Raw genomic sequence first — 25981 nt, 5'->3', positions numbered from 1 at the left:
ACTCTTTTGGGAAAGCTGCCCCAGGAACACTAGGACCTTCCTTTTATGCACCCTGAGTTGATACCGAAGGAAGCAAGAGAGCAGCAAGTTTCAATGTGTACTTTTCCCATCTTTAATTCCCTCTCTCTCTTTAGAAAAAAAAAATTTTTTTTATAGAGACAGAGGTCTCACTATGTTACCCAGGCTGGTCTTGAACTCCTGGCCTCAAGGAATCCTCCTGCCTCAGCCTCCCAAGGTGCTGGGATTACAGGCGTGAGCTACTGCATTGGGCATTACTTCTCAATATGGGACAGAGAGGGTAGGGAAAGAGGTCTGGAATAAGTGGGAGGGGGAAGGAGCCTTCCAAGTATCCTCCCTAAGAGAGGAGCACGAAGAAATCTCTACCTCCCCAACTCCCCTCCCAGGCTGAAATCCCTCTCTGGGGAAACTCCAGCCTCAGGTAACCTTTTGAAGGGAGGTGTTCTGGGAGAATGTCAGGCAGAAGGAACACAGCATTCTAACACTTCCCTTTTATGGCCCTGGGGATAAGACCCAGTAGAATAGGGCCGGATTTCTCAATTTCTTGCCAGAGAGGAGAGGATTGCATTTCAAAAGGACCTAAAACAATTAGACCTCAGATCACACCTCCATCTAAGCAATAGGGTGGCCCAAGAATCCTTGGCCAGCAGTGGGAGAGGGGAAGGGACAGGAATCCAGAAGACTTGGCCCTCTCCCTCTCATCTTTTCTTTCGTCTGACCCCTTCCCCCATGTTCACACATCTCTTTCAAAAGAAAAAGCTGGGACTGGATGGGGTTGGGTTAGTGACAGCTATCAACACTTTGGCCGACATTTCTATCTCTCTGTCAAAGGTTGAAGTGGAAGAGGCAAAAATCCAACAGACATTCAGGGCTGCAATTTCTGGTTCTCTACCCAAGGCTCTTTTTTGCACTGAGACACAAAGGCAGTGGCGGTGGGCGGCTCTCCTAATCCACTCTAAGTCAACTCAGATGTCCTGCCCCCTCTCAGTGAGTCCCAAGCAACCTGCCCCCTCTCAGTGAGTCCCAAGCAACCTGCCCCAAGTGAGGCTGGAAGGCAGAGAGCTAGAGGAACATCAAGCGTGTGGTTTCTGCAGCCTCCCAGAGCCTGCTTCCTCGTGTGCCTCTCTCGTGGTGCACACTGCTGCCAAGCCTAGAGAGAGCCCACTTAGGCTGCCTTTGGGCTCTCCCTGTGCCAGTCCTGAGAGAGCTTAATTGCTCCCAAACGAGACGAGTGCAGTTCCTTGGCCGAGCCCTCTTGTAATGGCCTCTTACCTATCTGCATGACTCTCCCAAAGACAGATGCGTTGTCCGCTGTGCTGCAATTCCACCGCCGCTGCCGGAACTGGTGCTGGCATTCCTTGATGCCAGTCTTGGCTCCCTCCCCTATGTAGGCCATGTGCTCCTGGTACAATTGGCACAGCTTCCTCTGGCCAGGGGAGAGCCCGGGAAGCTGACTGCACACGGGCTGGGCACCGATGATAAACATCTCGGGTCTCTGCACCGGGTTCAAAGCTAATGACCTAGGACAGCAATCCAGAAAGGGGAAAAAAAGGCCCAGGAGTGAGCATACGCCTGTGTGCAGCATTAAGTCATTCATTCAACACATTTATTGAATGCGTCCCTGTGTACAAGGCCCTGGAAAGAAAAATTAGTAAATCAGAGTGCTGGCCTTCAAAGGACAAACTGAAGGAATCTGAGGCATGAACACAAAGGACATGCGAGATGCCAAATGCCCCAGACAGACTCTGGATATGCTTCTGGATCTGCTGTGATCAGATAGGAAAATAGCCCTTATGGCTGAAGAGAAGCCTTTATAAGGAAATGGCCAGAATTTGAACTGGATCTTAAGAATGGGGGTCAGGCAGATAAGAAGACGAGGGGTGGGGAGCAGCTCTTCATTTTAATAGAGGGCAAAAAGAGCCAAACCTCAACAGGAGAGCACAGGCCTCATTCAATGAGTAGGAGTGACTAGTTCAGTGCAGCCCAAGTACATGATAAGCCATGGAAAGCAATCAATCCTTTGCGTGGTACTCCCTTTGGGCCTTTAAAATCCAATCACTTTACATACATCACGATCTAGTCTACTTGTTTTCACTGCCATGTCTCACTTTGAGCTTCCCCTCATCCACTCTCCACCAGTTCAGAGGCTCTCCCTTTTGCTCATCATCTACCAGCCATATAGAGTGTTAGATGAGAAGGCTGCAGATTTGCTATCTGAGTAAAAATGCTAGTGGCAGAGACCATGCAAAATAGGTGGTGATCGCCTGCCATTTCCCTGTCAACTTGGCAATGACAACAGCCCTTAAAACATAAGAAGAAAGCCAGCCACCCATGGTGCTGTGAACCCCTCATCTGGCCTTCAGACTTATAAAAGAGGAATTCTATATCCTACCAGCAAAACACACAAAACAAAGGAACAAAAAACTACCAAGTATTGATATTCTTGTTGACCCAAGAGCAATTTCTAACAATTCATGGGCATGAGGGAAGGTCCAAGGAAAAGGAATGTGGACAGGATTAGAGAAAAAAATCAAATGAACGGAACCTTTATCCTCAGGGAACCCTTACAAAGATAAGGGTTGAGAGAGACACAGAGCGTTCTTAGTTTTCCTGGGATAAAAGAGGCCCTTAGTACTCCCAGGAATCAAGGTACTACCGTGACACACGGTGCCCTTCCTCCTCATCTCAGTCGCTGAAGGAGGCCTCCGGCTGTGCAGGCAGGACCTCAGCCCCTCTTACTCACCACCAGGAGTTGGCGTCTGTCAGAAGCTGAGCCCAGCTGGACAGCAGAGCAGCCGTGAACAGCAGCAGCAGGCTGGGCATGGTCGGCCTCAGCCCTCCCCAGTGCCCTGGGACTGACAGTTTCCAGAGTAGGGTTCCCTGGAGAAAACAGAAATGGAGAGTCAGTGTGGAAACTCAGCGGATAAGGGCAGACCAGGAGCCGGGGTGAGGCGGAGAAAGTTGCACTGATGCTTACGTGCTGCGTGTTCCCCACAAAGAAGCTCGGCCTCTTTCCAGCCTCCGCCTCCCACTGCTCATCTTCCCACCCTAGGACTTCTGTCTCTTACCCCAAACTGTGGGAACCCTGCACAGGACCTAATTTCCAAAGAAATAATGAGCTGAGAAACCACAAAGAGAAATGAAAACAAGTAATTTCAAGAGCGGAGCTTGCGGCGTTCCTCCGTTCGGCAGCCGGGAGGCCACTTCGGCTGTTGTAAAGCATACCTGTCCTTGCTGCAGAACATCCAAAGAAATGGGGCCCATCCTATCCACTCCCCCACGTGCCTACCTCTCATTCCAGCCCAGAGACTTATTTCTCTGACCCTCAGGCTCTCCTTTGTAGGATTAAAACATTTTGGTGAATTGGATTTACCTGCACCCAGGGAGGAGTCTCCCCTCTCCATCTGCGCCCTTCTCACCCTCAGCGGGTTTCCTAAGTCCCAACCCCTGCGTACAGATCAAGGACTTTTCACTTTCTCAAGGCAGCTTCTCTGAGAAATGTACAAGCCACGCCGCGAACCGCCCGCCCGGAAAGCTCTGGCGGCTGAGGTGGTGCCTCCCTAGGCGGCCCCTGCCCCTCCCGGCACCGTGGTCCTCGAGGGCGGCACCGAGTACCTTGCCCAGCAGCTGCACCGGGGACACTGCCGACGCCAGGCGGCAGCTCTGGCATCAAATGCCTGAGCTGAGGACGCATCTTCCAGATGCCACAGCCCTTCCCTGCTGGCTCCCGGGCCTCCCGCCTCTTGGCCTCCTGCCTGCTGTAACCCACGCCTGTTCCTCTATCCGCCCCCGAGAGCCCCTGTCCCCAGGCCCTGGGACCCGCAGCAGGTCAGTGCTGCTAGAGCGAGCCTGCGCCTCGGGACACACGGCCCCTGCGGCTCCCCCGCGGTCCTCCGGGGCCCCCGTCTGGGCGTGACCCGCGCCCCCAGCGGCCTCCCCGGGGCCCCGGACCTGACGAGCGCAGCCCCGCGCGCCCCGGCTCACTGCGCCACTCTCGCGCGTCGGCGTCCCCAGGCTCCCCGGGAGGGGGCGGCGGGTGCTTCGGGTCATCAGCCCGGGAAGTATTTTTGTCCTGGGGCCGCCAGGAGAGGACAGTGGCCCGAGCAGGGTCCAGGAGAGCTGGGACACAGCCCTTCCCCAAGCCCCCTTTTGATTTTCCTTCTCGAAGCCTCGGCTGGGGCGGGGGCACCAACAGGCAGGTGTGTGGGGCCGGCAGGGGGCAGATCAAAGAAGACACTTGCTCCTTCCCCTTTGTCATGCAGAGCCAGCTCGGAAGTGAGCCGGCCCCCAGCCCGGGACTAACAGCTTCCACGCCCGACTCCCCTCAGACCCCCCCTCCTCTGGAGGATGCCCCTCCCCCTCTCCTCTCCCCCCATAAATCCTCCTCGTCCCCCGGGGCAGAAGGTCTGTGAATGCACCGGCTGGAACCACGAGAGATGGAGCAGAGATAGGGCTGGCACCAGGAGCTAATGGTTTTATGGAGGGGAGGCGACCAGGTCCCGAGTAGGGAGGACGAGAGAAAAGCTTCAAAGCGTTTCCTTGTCCAAATATCCTTAACTCCACCTACCAGTCCTTCCCGGGGTTGCAGAGCTAGGGCCGCCCGTGCCCTCCTGCTTCTCCAGCCTCCTCCCCGCGGCCCCGAAGCCTCCTGCCCAGCCTATGCCCAGCCCGTGCCCAGCCCACCACCCTGCCGCCCGCAACACCTACTCTCCCTGGGGACTTTGATCCTCACACATTTCCACCACCAGATAGCGGAGTTCTTCCTCCCCGCCTGTGACACTTGTCCCTCACACCAGTGCCTCTCACCTCTGTCACCCGTCCATCAGGCTCCAGTGGAATCTCTCTGGTCCTGCAGTTCCTAGGTTCAAACTAGGCTACATTGGGGGCCACCGTTTCCGAGCCAAAGACAGGCCTGGGTGCCTGCTAATGGTCACTGTGGCTGTGACTGCCCCCAGGACAGGCTGACACGGTAACTAGAGCCAGACTTCCCAGGAGCTGCTAATCCCGCCCTCAGTGCCTTATAAACATATATGGAGACAAGAATCACTCCCGCAGCTGTTTCTACTCCATCCCCCGCCCCGGGCTTTCCACGAGGCGGCTCTCAGCCCATTAAAAATGTTTTTTTTTTTAAAAATTGCCCCCCAAAATGGCTCTAACATGTGCAGTGGCTTCTTTCTCTGACTTCCAGATGTGTGGTACCTGAAACTGAACTCCCCCATACACACATATGCACGCGCGCGTGCACACACACACACACAACACACACACCAGCCCCCTCAGGACGCTCTCTGTCCTGGCAGACAGATGCGAGCCAATTCTTGAGTGGCCATAGAACTGAAGCCAGGCAGCTGTTTGCCCTCTCTTACATTCTTGTGCTGGGGTGGGCTGGGGTGGGAGGAGAAAGGACCCCTTAGAAAGGTAAATGCTGGCGACTGGTTTCATCAGCATGGGCAGAATGGAAATTTCTTGCCTCAACCCGACTGGGAAGGCAGGAAGCTGTATGGGGGCTGACGGTTTTGTGTTAATGAGCAGGTCACATTGGGACCCCTGTTTGTGGGTCACTAGTGAGATTTATAGCAGGATTCAACCAGGGGAGGCTCTCCTTGTGTAGGAAGAAAGATCTGGTAAATGCCCAACAGGCAGGAAAAGGCCTTTGCAATAACTACAGATTTCCCCAGGGTCTAAAAAGATTCCCCTTCCTAAGAGGCAAGTGTCAATTCAAACATACCAAACACAGTAGTTAAGAATGCGGGGCTCTTCGGGGGGCCAAGGTGGGCAGATCACCTGAGGTCAGGAGTTCGAGACCAGCCCGGCCAACATGGTGAAAGCTCACCTGTAATAAAAAAGTATAAAAATTAGCCAGATGTGGTGGCACATGCCTGCAGTCGCAGCTACTTGGGAGGCTGAGGCAGGAGAATCGCTTGAACCTGGGAGGTGGAGGTTGCAGTGAGCCAAGATAGCACAACTGCACTCCAGCCGGGTGACAGAGCAAGACTCCATCTCAAAAAAAAAAAAAAGTGGGAGTCAGGGTCTCTATTCTTTAGTAGTAGTGACTAGGAGGCTGTGGGGAGGGAAAGATGCAAAATTCCCAATCAGGATCCTTCCAGAAGCCAGAATGAGCTGGTCAGACATCTGCTCTGTTCCTCCTCTTCATTCATCCATGCAGCCATTCAATACATTCATTAATCAAATGAATTACACCCTGGGTGCCTAATATGTGCCAGTTACTGCTCTAAGTGCCAGAGACATGGCAGTGAACAAACAAATGTATCATAAGTTAGGTCCAGTGAATACTATGAGGAAAATAAAGAGGGGACCAGAATCAAGAATGGGAAGGGGTGGTAGCATACTTGATGTAGGGTTCTTGGGAAGACTACTCTCTGAAATATCTGTGCCCCCAAAACCACTGTGTAGGCAGGATGGTGGGAGGGGATGTAACGATGCTACACCTCCAAGACCCCCTCTAGAGCACATCCAAGGTCCCTGCTGAGATGGCACTGTCCCACTTCACCATCACAACCAAAGAGGTGCGTGTTGGAAGACAGGAACTCCAAGATCTCCTCCTTTTTCTGCTAGGACTCAGTCACTCACTTTCATTTCCTTAAGGGGCCATGTCCATCCAGCCTAGAGTTAAGAGACCAAAAAGAGAGACCGGGACAGGTAAAGCTGAGACCCCAAGCAACTCTGTGCTTTCCACCATACTTCAGAGCAGTGCCTGAAACAACATCTCTGCCCCACAGGATGAGGGGTTGATTTCAGGTCATTAGCCATTCACACAAACCCACTGATATCTAGAACTGACTTCCCCAGCACCCAGGGACTCAAGCATCTCAAGACTCCTGCAGGAAATGGAGCCACCTCCCACATCTGCCCCTCTCCTCAGACAGGCACCGTCACATCCAGAAACCTGTCCAGAAATAGCCACGAGCCTAGGTGGGGACCTCTTCAAGGGTGCTGAGCAGGCCTCCTTTGTCACTGAGGCCACACCTTCCAAGATGCCTTCCCTGACCATCCCTCCCAGAGAAGGCCCCCATCGCCATTATTCTACTTCTAGCTTCTTGCATGTTTTAGCCGCAGCATTTAATGTGCCATGGAATAGTGTGGCGTGCTCATCTGTTGTGGTTTTGTTTCTTTCCCTCATATGCTCTGGAAACGGTCTTATTTACCATTTTTCTCCCCAGTGGATAGGATAGTACACAGGGGTATGTGGGAGTTGCTAGAAAAATATTTGTTGACTGAAAGAAAAGAAAAGCACTCTTACTTGGTCACCCAGTGGGGAGCTATAGAATGTGTAATTTAAAAATACATTTGGCGGCCGGGCGCAGTGGCTCACAACTGTAACCCCAGCACTTTGGGAGGCCGAGGCGGGCAGATCATGAGGTCAGGAGATCGAGACCATCCTGGCTAACACGGTGAAACCCCGTCTCTACTGAAAATACAAAAAAATTAGCCCAGTGTGGTGGCGGGCGCCTGTAGTCCCAGCTACTCAGGAGGCTGAGGCAGGAGAATGGCGTGAACCTGGGAGGCGGAGCGTGCAGTGGGTCAAGATCGTGCCACTGCACTCCAGCCTGGGCGATAGAGTGAGACTCCGTCTGAAAAAAAAAAAAATACACTTGGCCTGGAGTAGTGGCTCACGCCTGTAATCCCAGCACTTTGCGAGGCCGAGGCAGGTGGATTACCCGAGGTCAGGAGTTCGAGACCAGCCTGATCAACATGGAGAAACCCTGTCTCTACTAAAAATACAAAATTAGCCAGGCACGGTGGCACATACCTGTAATCCCAGCTACTCGGGAGGCTGAGGCAGGAGAATTGCTTGAACTCGGGAGGTGGAGGTTGCAGTGAGCTGAGACTGCGCCATTGCACTCCAGCCTGGGCAACAAGAGTGAAACTCTGTCTCAAAAAAAAAAAAATACACTTGTGGCCAGGTGCAGTAGCTCACACCTATAATCCCAGCACTTTGAGAGGCTGAGGTGGGAGGCTTGCTTGAGCCCAGGAGTTCAAGACCAGCCTAGGCAACACAGTGAGACCCTGTCTCTACAAAAAAATCTAAAGTTAGCCGAGCATGGTGGTGCCTGGGAGGCTGAGGCCAGAGGATCGCTTGAGCCCAGGAGTTCAAGGCTGTAGTGAGTCGTGATTGTGCTATTGCACTTCAGCGTGGGTGACAGATTGAGACCCTGCCTCAAAAAAAAAAAAAAAAAGAGAGAGAAAAAAAACAGGCAGGGTGCGGTGGCTCATGCCTGTAATCCTAGCGCTTCGGGAGGCTGAGGCAGGTGGATCACTTGAGGTCAGGAGTTTGAGACCAGCCTGGCCAACATGGCAACACCTATCTCTACTAAAAATACAAAAATTAGCTGGGCGTGGTGATGGGTGCCTGTAATTCCAGATACTTGGGAGGCTGAGGCAGGAGAATCGCTTGAACCTGGGAAGTGGAGCTTGCAGTGAGCCGAGATTGCACCACTGCACTCCAGCCTGTGTGACAAAGTGAGACTCCGTCTCAAAAAAAAGAGAAAAAACAAAAGAATAAAAGTACATTTGCAATTTTGTTAACATTCCTGGCATAACAGGGTAAACCATCTTAGCAGTCTTTGGAAAGGAAATGCTTCCCTTTGTGAACTCCTGGCTGCATTGCTGTTGAAGGAGGGGCCTCAGACTGGATGATTTCCATGGGACAGGGGAGGGGCAGGTGGAGGAGGAGCAGGCCTTGCTAGCTGGAGTCCTGTGGCTTCTCTCCCTTTGGCCACTCATTTCTCGTACTGTAGAGAAAGACTGTTTATGGACCTCAGCACAATAGACAAATACCTCCTAAAATGTACATCAGGTTCACTCATTTCCTTCCCAATTTCCAGGTGAGTACTCACCCTTCTGGCATCTGAACACCAGAGTAGTTCTTCGTGGTCTCACTCACAAGTGCACATAGACACAATACCAGTTTTCCCTAAAATACTAATTTTACATCATAATATTCCCCTATTTGAAAACGTATAGTGGTTCCCAGTTCTTTATTTCCAATGTGGCCTCATCTTACCTCTCATTGTTTTCCTGAATTTCCCAACATGAAGTCTCCTTTTCCAATGTCCTTCTACTCCTAGAACAAACCCCACTTTTCCCCCAAGACCTCATTCTGATCCTCTTCCCAAGGAAGCATTCTCCTCTGCTCTGCAGCAATCCAGATATTAAACTACTTTCACATCCAGGCTCAAGATTCACTCCCTCCATAAAACTGTGCTTGATTAACCCCACCCCATGAGAATCTCATTCTCATGGGTTGAGACCGAAGAGGTCTCAACCTCTTCGGCCCTTATGAATCCATGTATCTGGTCTGCACCTCCCTACCCCACTTATGCTGCCTTGGGCTGTTTCTCAGGTGAAGTATATACTTCTTACTTCTCTAGTAGATCAAATGCTTCCTAAAGGTTCAAACTTACCTTTTCTACTTTCTCTGCGAGCCCCTTTGCGCCCAGTATGGTTTTACTCAGCAGTAACAAATGTCTTTTGATTGATAACCAGTGACAATAGCTAGTATTAATCAACATTTATTGAGCACCTCTTAGTGCACTGCACTAAATGTTTCACATCTATTTTTCTCATTTAATCTCTGCCAACATTTGTGGCATATGCCATTATTATTCTCACTTTGAAAACAGGGAAACTAAAATTAAGTACTTGTTCATACAGCAATTGAATGGTTGACCCTGGCTTGGAATCCAGATCTTTCTACTCTTCCCCAAATACAGGTCCTCCCTGTCACTAGAGCATAACACCTTCTCTGCTTTCTCTTTTTTTTTTTTTTTTTTTTTTTTGAGACAGAGTCTCACTTTGTTGCCTAGGCAAGTGGCATGATCTCAGCTCACTGCAACCTCCGCCTCCCGATTCAAGTGATGCTTGTGCCTCAGCCTCCCGAGTAGCTGGGATTACAGGTGCCTGCCACCACGACCGGCTAATTTTTGCATTTTTAGTAGAGATGGGTTTCATCATGTTGGCCAGGCTGGTCTTGAACTCCTGACCTCAGGTGATCCACCTGCCTCGGCCTCCCAAAGTGCTGGGATTACAGGCGTGAGCCGCGGTACCCAGCCTCTTTCTTTTCTTCGTTGCACCATTGCCCTGTTACTACGGCTGCGAATAGTGTGAAAGTCAGAAAACAACATTCTGATATGCAGGAGATATCACAAAAAGCAAGGTTTACAAAACATGCAAAGTTACTAGTATTAATACACACACTTAGATACACACACAGCCTTGTGGGCGGAAAGAACTAGACTTCTCCCCTAGCCAAAATGATATGTGGGTTGAGAACAGGCCAGGCTGCTTAAAGCTGGAGGAATTAAAACATAATAGTTTTAAAGAGTTGGTACTTAGTTTTACTTTGGGATGGAAAAGACAAACCAGGTCAAGAGCTATGGGTCTGGAAGGGTGGATCCTGGTTTGGTGTGAGGGGCTCATGGAAGATGCAGAGGTGAGGTACAGAGTGCACGTGAAGAAACATAAGGTTTGGAGAGAACGTGGAGGGACATTTTAGATTGGCCTTAACAGTGAAACTCACCAAGAAACTATGTCCTCAGCAAGAAAGGCTCTTACTTCGATAGCACAAAACTGTCTTGCCTTTCAGTAGATATAGCGATCGAGGAGCTCTGTTCAAAGCTTAGATTTGACCATGTGACTTCTTTGCTTAAAACCCTTCAAAGAGGCCGGGCGCGGTGGCTCAAGCCTGTAATCCCAGCACTTTGGGAGGCCGAGGCGGGCGGATCACGAGGTCAGGAGATGGAGACCATCCTGGCTAACACGGTGAAACCTCATCTCTACTAAAAATACAAAAAATTAGCTGGGTGTGGTGGTGGGCGCCTGTAGTCCCAGCTACTCGGGAGGCTGAGGCAGGAGAATGGTGTGAACCTGGGAGACGGAGCTTGTAGTGAGCCGAGACTGTGCCACTGCAGTCCGGCCTGGGCTAAAGAGCGAGACTCCGTCTCAAAAAAAAAAAAAAAAAAAAAAAAAACAACAAAAAACCCTTCAAAGGTTTCCTATCTCCTAAAGGATGAGTCATAACTCCTCACCCCATTACATGACGCCTTCCAGAATCTGGCCCCGCCAACCTTTCCATCCTCTTTAGGATTTCATGCTGTGCTTTAGAACCCCAAACTCCTGATACCTCCTTACCCAAACCCATCCTGTTTCTCCCCGCTGTGCCTTGCCGACTTCTGGGAATGGTTTCTCCTCTCTCTGTGCAGAGCAAGCTCCTTTGTCATTGAGGCCACACCTTCCAAGAGGCCTTCTCTAACCATCTCTGCCAAAGAAGGCCCCCAGCAGCATCATTCTATTTCTAGCTTCTCACATGTTTTAGCCACAGCATTTAATGTGACATGGAATAGTGTGGCATGCTCATCTGTTGTGCTTTTGTTTCTGTCCCTCATATGCTCTGGAAACGGTCTTATTTACCATTTTCTCCCCAGTGGATAGGATAGTACACAGGGGTATGTGGGAGTTGCTAGAAAAATATTTGTTGACTGAAAGAAAAGAAAAGCCCTCCTCTGGCTCTCAGGGAAAGAGGAAGCAGGCCACGAAGGCCAGCCTCTCATGAAGACAAGGAGAGTCCCTTCGACTTCCATACAACTTGGTCCATTTGCTGTGAGGAAGCTGCTTGACTGTACCTCCCCTTATCTGAGAATCCACTGCTAATTGAGATTTTGGAGATTCCTGGTCCCAGACATAACTCTCTGTCTTTTCCTCAAAGACATAAGTAACATTCAGCTTCTAAGAGTAAAGGCTGGCACTGCTTAATAAGATAATGTAAAAATGTGTAAGACCTTGGGGAGTGCCCCAAGGTGCATTGGTCTAGCTGGGGAAAACAGAAAACCTGCCCAGAAAAGTACACTATAAGAAGTGTCATCTACTAAAAATACAAAAAATTAGCCGGGCGTGGTGGCGGGCGCCTGTAGTCCCAGCGACTCAGGAGGCTGAAGCAGGAGAATGGCGTGAACCCGGGAAGCGGAGCTTGCAGTGAGCCGAGATCACGCCACTGCACTCCAGCCTGGGCGACAGAGCGAGACTCCGTCTCAAAAAAAAAAAAAAAAAAAAAGAAGTGTCAGAAGAGCCTAAGGGAGCAGCTGTACTCAGGATGTGGGATTTGAGTAGGGCCTTGAAGAATATGAGGGCTTTTAACAGGAGGAAAACAGCAGAAAGGATTTCACATGAAGATGTGGTTTGGTCAAAGAGAAAATTTCAAGGTGCTTTTCGAAGAAGAGGAGAGATAGTGCAATGAAGGAGGACTTCAATAATTTCCACTGTTTTCAGAATTGCTTGTTCGTGAAATTTATGTAGTCCCTCCAAAATCTAATATGGGGCCAGGCATGGTGGCTCACATCTGTAATCCCAGCACTTTGGGAGGCCGGGATGGGAGGATCACTCGAGGCCAGGAGTTTGAGACCAGCCTGGCCGACATAGTGAGGCCTCATCTCTACCAAAAAAAAAAAAAAAAATAGCTGGATATGGTGGCACATGTCTGTAATCCTAGCTACTTAGGAGGCTGAAGCGGGAGGATCACAGGAGGTCAAGGCTGCAGTGAGCTATGATTGTACCACTGCACTCCAGCCTGGATGACAGAGGTCTCTAAAAATAATAAATGTTAAATTAACTTTTTAAAAAATCTGATTTGGTATTCCCATTGATAATTCAGCATCAATTACCCAGGAAAACTCCCATCATGACATGCTTCCAGTTTCTGGGGGCAACACTGCAGGAATGGGGTCAAAGACATAGGGGACCAGTCACCCTGGATACTGTCCTTTTGATCATAAAATGTGGGTTGAGTGAATCTTCCTAGAGAGCCAAATATAGAAGTTAAAATGCTGATTGATTACACACCTTCATATCAATCATGCGTGTTCTCTGTCTTCCAATTCTCTTCCTGTATCCAGGCCTGAAATCTTGGTATCCTTTGTGACTCCTCCCTCTTCTTTGCCTTCCACGTCAAATCAATTGCCAAGGTCTCTTGATTGTATCTCTATAGTGTTTTTTGAATATATTCCCTACTCAACATTCCTATTGTCATACTATGAGCTACTACAAGAGCCTGCTAATTGACCTCTTTTTCTCTAACAAATTGCAATATCTTATGTCCCATTCTTATCTCTTGAAAGGATAAATGAATTTCCCCATGGCAGTTCTCTAACTTTCAAAATAACAGGGTGGGGCGCGGTGGCTCACACCTGTAATGCCAGCACTTTGGGAGGCTGAGGCGGGCAGATTACGAGGTCAAGAGATCAAGACTATCCTGGCCAACATGGTGAAACCTGTCTCTACCAATAATAGAAAAATTAGCCAGGGGTGGTGGCGCATGCCTGTAGTCCCAGCTACTTGGGAGGCTGAGGCAGGAGAATCGCTTGAACCCGGGAGGTGGAGGTTGCAGTGAGCCAAGGTCGTGCCATTGCACCCCAGCCTGGCCACAGAGCGAGACTCCGTCTAAAAAAAAAAAAAAAAAATTTGCTGGGTGTGGTGGCGGGTGCCTGTAGTCCCAGCTACTTGGGAGCCTGAGGCAGGAGAATCACTTGAACCCAAGAGGCGGAGGTTGCAGTAAGCCAAGGTCGCGCCATTGCACTCCAGCCTGTGTGACAAACTGAGACTCCATGTCAAAAAAAAAAAACAACAACAAAAGAATAGCAGCACTCTTGATAGCCTCAGACCAGAAGCAACAATATCCATCAACAATAGAATGGACAAAACAATTAACTGTGATATATTACAACAAAGAATTATTATGCAGGAAGGAAAACAAACTACAAGTTACATGCAACCACATGCATGGATCTTCTGAACATAATATTGAGAAGAAGCAAGTCACAAGAAAGTATATGAACTATGGTTCCATTCATAGCAAAACTATCTTGTTTGGGGACCCACACATTGGTGGTTAAGCCATAAAGAAAAGCAAGCAAGGAAATGATGACATCAGGGAGTGGTTTCCAAGGGAGGGGGCTGTGATGAGGAAGGGGCTCGAGGAAGTTCCTGGGATACCAGCAATGTTCTATTTTCCAACCTGGTGATGGATATGTGGCAGTTCACACTACAGCAGTTTATTAAGTTGTGCATGTATTATGCTGTATGCAATTTTCTGCATTATATTAGACAACAAAAATATTTAAAAATAAAAAAGTCATATTAATACCTAATGGCTTGAAGGTCTTTATATATTATATTTTCTTGGCGGAAAGTACAATTATGGTCTCATGGGGCATGTGACCTTTTTTATTTTTATTTTTTGACTTAAAAAAGAAGATCCTCATACTCAAAAAGAAACATGTTGGGAAATTTAGGTAGAGACAACCACGTGGGATGACTATTTGAGGGCAGGTGGGGCTGGTGGGAGGGAGTTCTGTGCAAACCAATGGGTATTGCTCTCGCAGTGCCAGGCCTGGATCAACGGCACATGAATGGCAGCCGCTACGCCAGGAGCCGACTCAGCATTTCGCTTCCTCTCTTGCTCAGTCCAGGAAATGAGGATATGGCAAAATCACCCTCTGTCTCACTTTTTTTTTTGGTCAGTTATTACTATTTAGTTCTGTAGCTATCTGTTTCTCTTGCATGAATTTTTTTCTAGATAGCATTCTTCCCCAAAAAACATTTTTAAAAAGTAGTAACCAAAGATGAATCCAATAATGTACCAATGACTTTATCTGCAAATTCCACCACCTCTTACGAGAATCCCCGGATGCTCATCTTTCTTCTCAGCTCAATTAACACAGCCTTTCCCTGCCAGCCTTAATTATTTCTCCCGAGGGTCTCTGTCTCTAGGTTTCTCTCTAGTTCTTCCTTCCAAGCTTTGCTCAATGAATCCTCCTAGCCCTGAGGCATAGTATTCTTTTGTGTGATCTGCTTGTGTGTATGCATAATCTACAGTTGGTAGAAATGAAAATAAAAAATTGGGCGGGGAGAGGGTTGTATCAGCTCCACCATGATTGCAGCAGTCCTTTGGGAAGCCTCATCTCCCAAATATTCTGTGTCTTTTCTCATTGTTTCTCTGGCTTGCAGGAGAAGAAATGTCTTAGGGGTGGGGAGGGGCTGGGGGCTTGGTGGGAGGGGCTGGGGGCTTGGTAGGAGTGATGAGATTTAAATTCTGGCCCTTAAGAAAAATGCTAAACTACCCTTCCCCAGAAATGTGTGTGCCATTCCCAGTGATAAGGTACACAATTTGGGAAGTATATAGCAAAACAGACCCAATCACAGTGCAGGGTGGCAGGAGCGCAGAAACAATTCCTGAGGCCTTCACACTAAAATCTAATGCCTGATGTTCCAGAGAATAGAGCTTCCAGCTTCCAACTCCTGGTGCCTGGAGCAGTGTGAAAGTGACCAACTCATGCACTGTGAGAATAAATTCCACAAAGTAGGCAGAGCAGATCCCTAAGACTCTGGGTCCCTGTACAATTCCCAGAAATGGCAGATCTCAGATGACTCATCTTACTTGGAAAAGCACAATTTTCTCCCCAGGTATCAAGCAAAAGTCCACTGGAAGTCTTATTCTGTGCAGATGATAAGAAAGAGGAAGTTCCCTTCTCCTGAATACTAATAAAATAGTTTTAAAATATGCTCTAGAAAAGAAGGCAGAAGTGTATAGGTCACAGGTCAGTGTGGTTTAGGAATTGTTTCAAGAGAACAAGGCTATGGACTTTGTTTTCAAGGGCTGGAGGATTGAGGGGTGTTTAGATGCTCTTGTCCTGCAAGTAATCTATTTTCACCAGATCTAGAGTTCTGGGGTATTGTACTATAGGGGAAAAACATTTATTTGTGCAATTGCTACTGTTTTCTGCAAATTCCTGTCTACTTAGAGTGAATGAAGTAAATAAATGGACTTCTGGATCACCACCAAGGGCAGGTGGATAACCTCTCTCTATGCCATGCGCTAATTAGAATAAAAATGTGTCTTGTGCTACCAAGTAGAGGTACTACTGTGTTTGCAAAATGGAGCGTATTTTTAAAGGACCTGGGGAAACCATGCAACTTTTAAAACCAGGATCACCAACTGGCAGTCAGCTAGCTGTCTTTTCTTTTTTGGAGACATCGTCTCACTGTCACCCAGGCTGGAGTACGGTGGCATGATCACAGCTCACTGCAGCCTCGAACTCCTGGGCTCAAGCGATCCTCCCACCTCAGCCTCCTGAGTAGCTGGGACTACAGGTGTAAGCCACTGTGTCTGGTTAAGTTTTTAAATTCTTTTGTGGAGATGGGGGTCTCCCTATATTGTCCAGGCTGGTCTTGAACTCCCGGCCTCAAGCAATCCTCCCTCCTAGGCTTCCCAAAGTGCTGCGATTACAAGCATGAGCCACTGCGCCCAGCCCAAGTGTCTTTGACTAACACAATGTTTACAAATCTTTGGAATATGAATGTCTTGGTGGGTGGCACACAGGTTCTCTAACTTTCCCAAATCCCCACTGCTCTCTGCTGTCTTTCTCCTGGCTACTTCACTCATTCATTTTGGAATGTTTGGAGCATTCACAAGTCATGTTCCAAAAGACTTTCAAATTTGCCATGCAGTTCTTTTTTCTTTTTCTTTTCTTTTTTTTGAGATAGGGTCTCACTGTGTTGCTCAGGCTGGACTGCAGTGGTGTGATCATGGCTCACTGCAGCTCTGATCTCTCTGTGGTCAGGTGATCCTCCTACCTCAGCATCCTGAGTAGCTGAGACTACAGGCACATGCCACAATGCCCAGCTAATTTTTGTATTTTTTTGTAGAGTTTCACCATGTTGCCCAGACTAGTCTTGAACTCCTGGGCTCAAGCAATCCACCTGCCTCAGCCTCCCAAACTGCTAGGATTATAGGCATGAGCCAGCCCATCATGCTGTTCTTTAAAGGGACCTCAATATACATATTATATATATATTTTATATATTACATATATGATAATCATTGTACTAAATGCATAGTCACCATTTATAAATCTGGATTTTTACAGGTGGTATTTTCTGCAAGTAGTTATATTGACTCTTTTTCTAAGCAATTCTGTAATTCCACCCCAGAAACTAAGTTTAGATAAGAAGTTATGGCCTCACCTGATTCCAGTCTTCTCGCTCTCTTGAGATCTTACTGAAGCTGTCAACCTTCTGCTTCAAAAATTAGCAGTTTCCATTTGGAAGAATAGGATAATTGCTTCATTTTTGTAAACAGGCAGGAGATGAATGTTGCAATGAATGGAACAGCGGAAGGACAGCACCCCTGGGTCCACAGCACCTTCAACGGCGAGCCCCAGAGCCTGTCTTCATCAGTCAGGTACCCAGGGGCAAGCGGCAACACAGGGACCACGGCTAGAGGGACTCTAAAGGCAGAGCGTAGCGGAGAGGCTGCAAGCGAATTCTCCTCGTCACTCACTGCTCATGCAGAAACGACACCTGGGTTTTTATCTGGGGGGAAACCAGTAGCTCTAAGTAATGTGGGTCCCTCTAATGCTGTCCCCAGCTGTCGCCCCTGTGTCTCAAACTGCTCCTTTGATTGTGCGGGGAAGACCTTCCAAATCCTTTGAGAGAAGAGGAACCAAGCAGCTTTCTAAAGAAAACCACAGGCAAAACAAGTTCACGCCCACTCAGGCACAGCACCAGTTCCTTCCTCACCGATGAGAACATTCAGAGCCAAGGTGGTCAGCTCTCCTGTCTCCCCCTCCAATGCTAAGCAGTTCACATTCCCTTTGCCAAAACTAGAGTCCCTGCTAGCAAACCTCAGACCAGGTTTGTGGGTCTCACAGGCCCTAGTTTTGAGAATTAAATAACCTCTGTGGCTGCCTCAGGCAAAAGCATGATCACCAAATTCAGGCCTGGGCAGGTTACAGAGGCTTTTGGTTCACCACCAAAATTCTTTAGTTTCTTTTATGGCTCTGCCAGGCTTCTTTTCACGGAACTCCTGACCCTCTTGCTAAATTGCTCCCTCGACTGCCTGTTTTCTTGGTGAAGGCTGCAATGATGGGGGTCAAGCTTGCTGTCTATGCTGCCCCAGCACGGGGCTCTGCAGAAAATGAAGGTAACACAAGGACAGCCTCTGGGAAGCACCTAGCATTCAGCAGGCACTCAATAAATGTTAACTGTTCATCATTTAACACATGCTTACTGTAGGTTTACTCAATACACAGTACTGTATAGGATATTCCAATCAATTAATACAATGCTACTCTCCTAGGAACTCAATATCACTGCCCAAGATGGTAGCCACTGACCACATGTGGCTATTTAAATTAAAAATGAATTTAAATTAAATGTTCAGTTCCTCCATTGCAGAAGCCACGTTTCAAGGGCTCAGTAGCTACAAGTGGCTAGTGGCTATTGTTTTGGACAGCACGGATTATAGAACGTTTCCATGATCACAGAGAGCTTATGGACTGTCTCATAGTGCTGGTCTAGAGTGGAAGCCAGGCAAGAACACAAATCATCACTTGTACAAAACCGAAAGTTCCATTTGAAATCCATTGTTTAAACGTGGTGCAGTAGGAGCTTTAACAGAGTTACTTGCAAAGTACCATGGCACTCAAGGTAAGGGTAGCAAACTCTAACCTACCGCCCAGGAGCAAGACCCCACCTACCAGCCATGGAGACAACCATTTTCTATTCCAATGACAACCTATACTTCCATCATTGCAGGTAATCTTTAGGAAAAGCAGCCATTCTGCAATGACCTTGAGAGCAATTTCCCATGATCAGAACCAAATTGTTTGCTATTTTAAATTTGCTACTCAGAGTAAACGAAAAAGTTCAGACCCAGTGAAAATGCCAAAAAGTAATCGAAATGGAATTCTTTCTGTGACTCTTAATTCAAGTCAACTAATATTATTGAGCATCTATTAGGTCTTACTCAAAGTTGAGTAACAGGAACTCTTGGTTGAATAACAGGAATCTCGTAGAGGTGAGGCAAACATATGTGATTATAACATTTAGCAGGGCAATACGTTATAATGGAGGTATCAATTACTATCCAAACAGCTGAGAAAGACTATGTCGTTCCAACGGTGGGGATGCTTTCTGGGGGTGATGGTATTTGAACCTGTCCCTAAGAGGACACACAGGATTCTCACAGCTGGAGATAGGAGAATGAGACCCGCCCAAGGAGCAAAGGCACAGAGGCCTGAAAAACACATGACACGTAGTTTCAAGTCCAAAATTCAACTTCAGAAAACAGAAGAGGGAAGGGGGAGAGAAAGAGAGACAGAGAGAGAGAGAGAGAGAACCAAAGCCAAAATCTAAAGACAAACAAAAGTCATTAATTCTTCGTGAAGCAGAACCTTCCTATTGGGGCCCCCTTATAAGGAGTTTGGGCGTCTCTTGTCATCTGCAGGAGACATCCGAGGCATCTGAACAGGGGAGAGGCACCATCAGATGTGGATTTAGAAAAGCTCTGGTAATCGTTTGCTCCAATAATGATGGATGGAGTGTGGAGGGTAAGCATCTGGAAGGTGGGAGCCCAGCTGGGAGGTCTGATTCAGTAGAAACACTACAAGGGGCAGAAGGAGAGCACTGTCAGCCTGAGTGGAAAGGAGACGAGGAGGTGTGGTCTGTGCCTTATGCAGCCAAGGGATGACAAATGTCCGCAGCTGGAACAAACCACCAGCACAGGCCTCGGGCCGCTGGCCTCTGGTCACTGCTGAATGGAGATGAAGAGTCCTGACTATAGTCTATCCGCATGTGGCTTTGGGGAGGGCCCACTGTTTCTGTGGTCACCTCCCAAGCTGCATGAGACAGCTGGAGCAGGTGTGATCTCCATGGGATCCGGCTATCTTGTAAGCACAGGCCATGGATCAGAAAGAGTCACCACTCCTGAAAATACAAACAAATTGAGATACATATCCCACCTTATTTTCAGGAATTTAGGAATTCCTAAATATTAGGATAAATTTAGGAATTCCTAAGATTCCTGAAGATTATCTGTAATATGTAAGAGATATATAACCCTCTTATTAAAATTAAGACAAAATCACGGTTAATAGTAGAAATAATTATTAATTATTTCCACCCTCCTAGGCATGTGTGTATTTGTCCAATAAGTTACTTCACTCTCATATGACGTCCTCCTCCTTTGGGCCCTCAAAGCCCATTGTAGCAGAGATCACTTGATGGTCACTAAAATTGCACACCGCTGGACTACATTACCCAGCATCCACTGCACAAAGAGGTGGTCATATGACTGGGTGCTATCTAAAGGTATACTAGAAGAAGTGATGTCTGCAGCTCCCAGGCCTGGCCTCTAAAAATCTCCAACCAGGAGACCTCCAAGCTCGCTTTTCTTCTTTCAGCTTGATGCAGACAAGCATGGTGGCCTTCAAAACCAGGCCAAAGGTAGAGTGATAAATCAGAAGAAGCCCAAGCCCCAAAATTACCAGAGGGAGACCTGCCTGATAATAATGAACATCTATTTTGGCTTTTACATGGGCTAGAAATAAATTTCTATGATTCTAGAGCCAATTTACATTTGGGAGATTTGTTTGTTACAGGAACCTCAAGACCTTAACTAATACAACCTCTTACAACACTTATTCTGTTTTGTATTAGACTTACCTATATACGTTTATCCCCCTTTTAGACTGTACATGCCTTATTTTTATTTGTAGTTGCTCAAGGGGTTTCAAGATTATCAAAGGGACATCAATTGTGCCAGGATTATTATCCCCATTAAACAGATCTAGGCCGGATGTGGTGGCTCACGCCTGCAATCCCAGCAGTTTGGGAGGCTGAGGTGGGAGGATCACTTGAGCCCAGGAGTTCCAGACCAGCCTGGGGAACACAGTGAGACCCCTATCTCTACAAAAATAAAAACATTAGCTGGGCATGGTGATGCACACCTGCAGTCCCAGCTACTCAGGAGGCTGAGGTGGGAGGATCGCTTGGCCCAGGAGTTGGAGGTTGCAGTGAGCCACGATCATGCAGCTGCACTCCAGCCTGGGTGGCAGAGTAAGACTGTATCTCAAAAAATTTTTTTCTAAAGATGTAGAGGTATCCAGCCACTCGTTCATCTAAGGACAAAGAATAAATGAGGCAACAGTGCCTGATTTGAGGTCTCGGACATCCTGTCTGTCTGGAAAGACAGGGAAGCTCAACATCCTTGAGGTATTGAAAACAAAAAGTTTAATCCTATATGAAGCTATTTGCTGAGAGCAAGATCTAAATAACAACTCATCATGTTTTACTAATGCAATTCCAGCCTCCGTACAACTGTGTGACCCTAGACAAGTCACACAACGTCTCTAGGTCCCAGCCTTCTCAGTTAGAAAATGACAGGGCAGAGCCACATAAGCCCTAACGTCTTTTCCAGTCCTAACTTCTCTAGCATCTATTGACCAGTCAACCAATAGCTTGAACTGGACCATTAAGTTTGTTGGGCCATTCATTACTCTTTCAAAATAAGTTATTTTTAGAATTCCCAACCTTTCATGAAAGTCAAGTCTAATAAAACACTAAACTGGGTTTTAGCTTTAAATGACAAAAGCTAATTAAGATGTTTGGATATTATCATTTTAAAAAATTCTTTCTCACAATAGGGAAAAAATGCTATCAAATTTTAAACTGCCTTTCTTTGATTATTCGTGAGGGCATACATCTTTTAGGTGTTAACTAATCACTTGTCTTTCCTCTTTCACCGTTTTCTTAGTTCTAAAAGCAGAACACTCGCAGTAGGATAACAGGAGCCGTATCACTGCCCGCATGCTTTAGCCAGCGGCCAACTAAAGAGGACTAAAGTATTTTGCCCAGAATTATCACCAGCTCAACCTACTTGGAATTGCAGGACTCCCAGCACTGGTTCAGCTCCGTGCCTCTCAGAGTATGCCTGCCTTTCATTATGTGTGAAATTCAATGGAATAAAAGTGGCTGCAAGCATAGCATTGTGGGGTTCCGTATTTATTCTCTTTCTGTGACAGCCGCATCCAATTTTCTCAGTTGAGAAGTCAAAGGGGTTACAAATTCCACGCAGGACCTGGAAATCCAGCTGAGCTGTTTGAGTTTTCTTCTACTTCTCCATGAATAAAGATTCTACAGAAGGGCCCTAAACAAACAATGCTGCTAATGATGTGTGAGGCAGATGGTCCTCAAACTCAACTGGCCAGGGGGACGCTGGCTTTGCCTGGCTAACTCCAGAGCAAAAAATTGTTTTTGCCAAAGAAACCTTGTAACTAGATATGTGCTTAAATCACATAGAACGGAAGTGTTGAATCAGAAGGCATTTTTTTTTCCCTGCTGCTTTTCCAAACCTAACCATGCTTTGTGGCCACAGCACTGTCCTGAAATCACCCTCTGTTTCTAGGTGATACGGTGCTTGTGCAATGATTCAAATGATGGAAGGAAAAAAAAAAAAACAACTCCCTCCTCGCATCTGGGTTCTATCAGCAAAATAAAACAACACCGTTGGTTTCAAAAGCATTTAGAAATTTAGCTTAAAAAATAGGCTAAAAAACTGACAGAAAGAGAAATTCTAATGAGTACCCTCTGCAAAAAATGCCCAGTGGCCAGTGTCCTAAAGTTCAAGTCCAGGAAACATGAGTAAGGGTCTCCAGCAGATCTCAACTGCTGGAGCAGGAATAAGGGAGGTGTGTTCTCTGTCTCCTGCAAAAGGGTCTCATCCTTGTGGACGTGACTGTCTGGGATGGCTGGATCTGAGGCTCTGATATACCACAAATAAATGCATGCTATTGGCACACGGCATCACAGCGGTTTCCTTGTCTCCCGGGCTGCATAAGAAAAACCTCGCTTCTTCTACTCATATGTAAGCACATTCACTGTTCCATAGAAAGCCTATGCTCTGGGTGGCACCCACAGATGAAAGTGAGAACAGGAGCCGGGCATGGTGGCTCATGCCTGTAATCCCAGCACTTTGGGAGGCTGAGGCAGGCGGATCACAAGGTCAGGAGATCAAGGTCATCCTGGCTAACACAATGAAACCCCATCTCTACTAAAAATACAAAAAATTAGCTGGGCATGGTGGCGGGCGCCTGTAGTCCCAGCTACTCGGGAGGCTGAGGCAGGAGAATGGCATGAACCCGGGAGGCGGAGCTTGCAGTGAGCCGAGATCAGGCCGCTACACTCCAGCCTGGGTGACAGAGCGAGACTCCGTCTCAAAAAAAAAAAAAAAAAAAGAAAGTGAGAACAGGAATGTAAAAATGCATCCCAATGACCATCTCCAACTCAAAATGACTGAACCCCTAGGAAAATCTCAGTGGTACAACGTATTCATGTTTGTGTGAAAAGAAACCACACACCCAACACTAAAAGCCAATATCAATAACCAAAAAGTCAATGGAAAACAGCGCAGTATAACATAGCCAGTATAATATGACCTGATTTGGTTCAGTAGGGAACAGCATGGGAAGGTATGTGGCAAATGATAAAACTATTGCATTTTTCCAACATTAAGAAAACATTATCAAATACAGAGGCAAAACCAGAATGCCTTGTGCTCTTCACCCCAGCTCCTACGCAGCCCCAGACGTCTCCCCGTCTGTACATTAGAAACAATCTCCCTTTCCCCCTTCTTTCCCGCACTCACTGCCCACCCCAACACATATTTATTTTTAATTATTTTGAAAAAAAAAAAGAGACTAGATCTCACTGTATTGCCCAAGCTGGTTTTGAACTGCTGGGCTCAAGTGATCTTCTCACCTTGGCCTCCCAAAGTTTTGAGATTACAGGCATGAGCCACCGCACCCGGCCCCCAACACATATTAACCAGAGAAAAATAATCAAAATTAAAGTCAATATTTATGGAGTGCTAACTGCATACTTTGTACTAGGGGCCGAGGGATGGGATGAACAGAGGCCTGGCAAGGTGAAGGGTAATGAAGAGAAACAAAATCCTTGCCCTACTTCAGCAGTGAAAGCAGCCAGGCCAGAAAAGGCCAGGGAAGGAGTGGTAATCACAGGCAAGAGAAGGTTGGAGGGTTCAGGGGTACGGCCATGCTCCCATCTGTGTAAAACTCCGGGCAGCAGCCACTGTAGAATCGGTCCCTGTTTGGTTACCCTGTTTGAACAAACAGACCTTGAGATAATTTGTGTGCACAGAAGTAAACTTTTCTTGACCCATTAAACCCCTTCTGACTTAAAAAATAAATAAATAAAAACTTTTTAAAATTGAAACAAAACACACAGAGTTAAAACGCACAAGTCTTAAATGTACAGCTTGATGAGTTTCCACATATGCATAGACGCATGAAACTAAGACCCAGACCAAGAACCACCTAACCATGGGCAAACCAAACTGATATGCTGCAGATAAATGCAAGAGTAGAATCTAGTTGGATCTCTAATATACCTTTTAAAAGTTGTTTTAGCTGGGCAGTGAGGTCCACGCCGGAAATCCCAGCATTTTGGGAGGCTGAGGCAGGTGGATCACTTGAGACCAGGAGTTAGAGACCAGCCTGGGCAATATAGGGACACCCTGTCTCTACAAAAAATTTTAAAATTAGCTGGGTGTGGTGGCGCATGCCTGTAGTCCCAGCTGCTTGGTAGGCTGGGGCAGGAGAATTGCTTGAGACCAGCAGTTCAAGGCTGCAGTGAGCCATGATTACACCACTGCACTCCAGCCTGAGCAACAGAGTGAGACCCTGTCTCAAAAAACAAAACAAAACAAAACAAAACAAAACAAAAAGAAAAAGAAATGAAAATATAAAAGTTGTTTTATTGTTGTTGTTTATTCTGATATTTAGAGACAGTTTACTCCTTCTGGGGCTTTGTGGGTGGGAAGTCAACTAACAAGGATCTAGGAAACACTAGGAAATATTCTCCCAGCAGGCACACACACACTCATTCAGGATAGTATTTTCCACTTGTTGGCCGGGCGCAGTGTCTCACACCTGTAATCCCAGCACTTTGGGAGGACGAGGCGGGTGGCTCACTTGAGGTCAGGAGTTCGAGACCAGCCTGACCAACATGGAGAAACCCCGTCTCTACTAAAAATGCAAAATTAGCCAGGCGTGGTGGCTGGCTGTAGTGGAACTTCTCGGGAGGCTGAGGTGGGAGGATCACCCCAGGAGCCCAGGAGCCCAGGATCCCAGGAGGTTGAGGCTGCAGTGAGCCATGATTATGCCATTGCACTTCAGCCTAGGCAACAGAGTGAGACCCTGTCTCAAAAAGAAAAAAAAAAGAATTTTCTACTTGTTTAGGGATCTCTCAGGATCCCTAACATGTAAGAAATATTTAGGAAACCAGGCTCTGACTTACTGCCACCACGTATTTTGCATCCCTAATATTTAGTAACAGGGCGTGAAGCAGTTGACTTTTATATGTAATCTGGGCGCTTCCTCTTACATAACACCAGAAACTTCTCGTTCTCTCCAACTTTTTTTTCCGTTTGTAAGACATTTCTTTCCCATGGTAGGACAGTGACAGTTGACAATGCTTTTTTTCCAGATCTTCCATTCTTCTTTTTCTAGCTTTGTCTTAGAATTAAAATGAACAGTTTCAAAAATAAACTTGATTTTCTTTAAAAGAAAGAAAACAAAACAAACAAAAACCCTTAGTTTGGAACACAACCCATGGTTGGAAGTGAACCACCTGCTCTCTCCCACAGCCATGGATAATTCAGTGTTACCCATGGGATTATGCTGGCCAAGGATTTCAAAATGCTCATATTTCAAGCACTTACTATCTTATACTATATAACACTGAAAAATACTAGTTAGCATATTAATTCATGTAGTAGCCCCAACTTTCTGTCAGTTTGTGACATCTTACAGGGTGTTTTTAATAAGCAATAGGTTTACAATGAAAGTTGTGATGGTCAGGATGTTAATATAGCATTAAGGAAGCAAATGTGTATTAAACTTTATTAGCAGCTCCTGGGCATTTCCTGTAGTGAAGCTTTACAGACTAAGACACATTTCTGATGTAATCACAAGGCAAGCTGATTCAATTTTGGCTCTGCCAGCGGTGACAATTTCTTAGTATACTATTGTTTAAAGTATGCCCTACTTTTTAAAGTTTATAGATATAAAAGCAGGAAAATGGCTGAAAGAGGGAT

The 25981-nt window shown here is 47.0% G+C and overlaps 1 protein-coding gene across 2 annotated transcripts in view, besides 5 other annotated features; it reads right to left on the bottom strand.

The window, feature by feature from the left end:
- WNT5B (Wnt family member 5B) overlaps nt 1-17140 on the bottom strand; it is a 30157-nt gene extending 13017 nt beyond the window's left edge. The window contains exons 1-3 of one of the 2 annotated variants that reach the window (NM_030775.2): nt 17053-17140; nt 2762-2898; nt 1291-1538 (exon numbers count right to left, since the gene is read on the bottom strand). In NM_030775.2, the coding sequence (NP_110402.2) occupies nt 1291-1538; nt 2762-2841 (328 nt within the window). In that variant the 5' untranslated portion in view covers nt 2842-2898; nt 17053-17140. Of the gene's footprint in view, nt 1-1290; nt 1539-2761; nt 2899-4824; nt 4966-17052 lie in introns of those variants that run through there. The other variant, NM_032642.3, reaches the window with a different exon arrangement.
- Nucleotides 3238-3337: an enhancer, noted in NCBI's record as "active region_5808". NCBI's record gives its function as "activates an Ori minimal core promoter by ATAC-STARR-seq in GM12878 lymphoblastoid cells {active_cell/tissue: GM12878}" and the evidence as "EXISTENCE:reporter gene assay evidence [ECO:0000049][PMID:35858748]".
- Nucleotides 3519-3813: a silencer, noted in NCBI's record as "tiled region #3814; HepG2 Repressive DNase matched - State 20:ReprD, and K562 Repressive non-DNase unmatched - State 7:EnhWF". NCBI's record gives its function as "represses a minimal TATA promoter and a strong SV40 promoter by Sharpr-MPRA in HepG2 and K562 cells {active_cell/tissue: HepG2 | K562}" and the evidence as "EXISTENCE:reporter gene assay evidence [ECO:0000049][PMID:27701403]".
- Nucleotides 3519-3827: a biological region, named in NCBI's record as "Sharpr-MPRA regulatory region 3814".
- Nucleotides 3768-3827: a silencer, noted in NCBI's record as "silent region_4117". NCBI's record gives its function as "represses an Ori minimal core promoter by ATAC-STARR-seq in GM12878 lymphoblastoid cells {active_cell/tissue: GM12878}" and the evidence as "EXISTENCE:reporter gene assay evidence [ECO:0000049][PMID:35858748]".
- Nucleotides 3858-4047: a silencer, noted in NCBI's record as "silent region_4116". NCBI's record gives its function as "represses an Ori minimal core promoter by ATAC-STARR-seq in GM12878 lymphoblastoid cells {active_cell/tissue: GM12878}" and the evidence as "EXISTENCE:reporter gene assay evidence [ECO:0000049][PMID:35858748]".
- Nucleotides 17141-25981: the final 8841 nt, after the last annotated feature.

This window comes from Homo sapiens, chromosome 12, assembly GCF_000001405.40.
Source record: "Homo sapiens chromosome 12, GRCh38.p14 Primary Assembly".
Classification (NCBI taxonomy): Eukaryota; Metazoa; Chordata; class Mammalia; order Primates; family Hominidae; genus Homo; species Homo sapiens.
The sequence above is the reverse complement of the archived record's forward strand: the minus strand, read 5'-3'. Positions and strand labels throughout refer to the sequence as shown.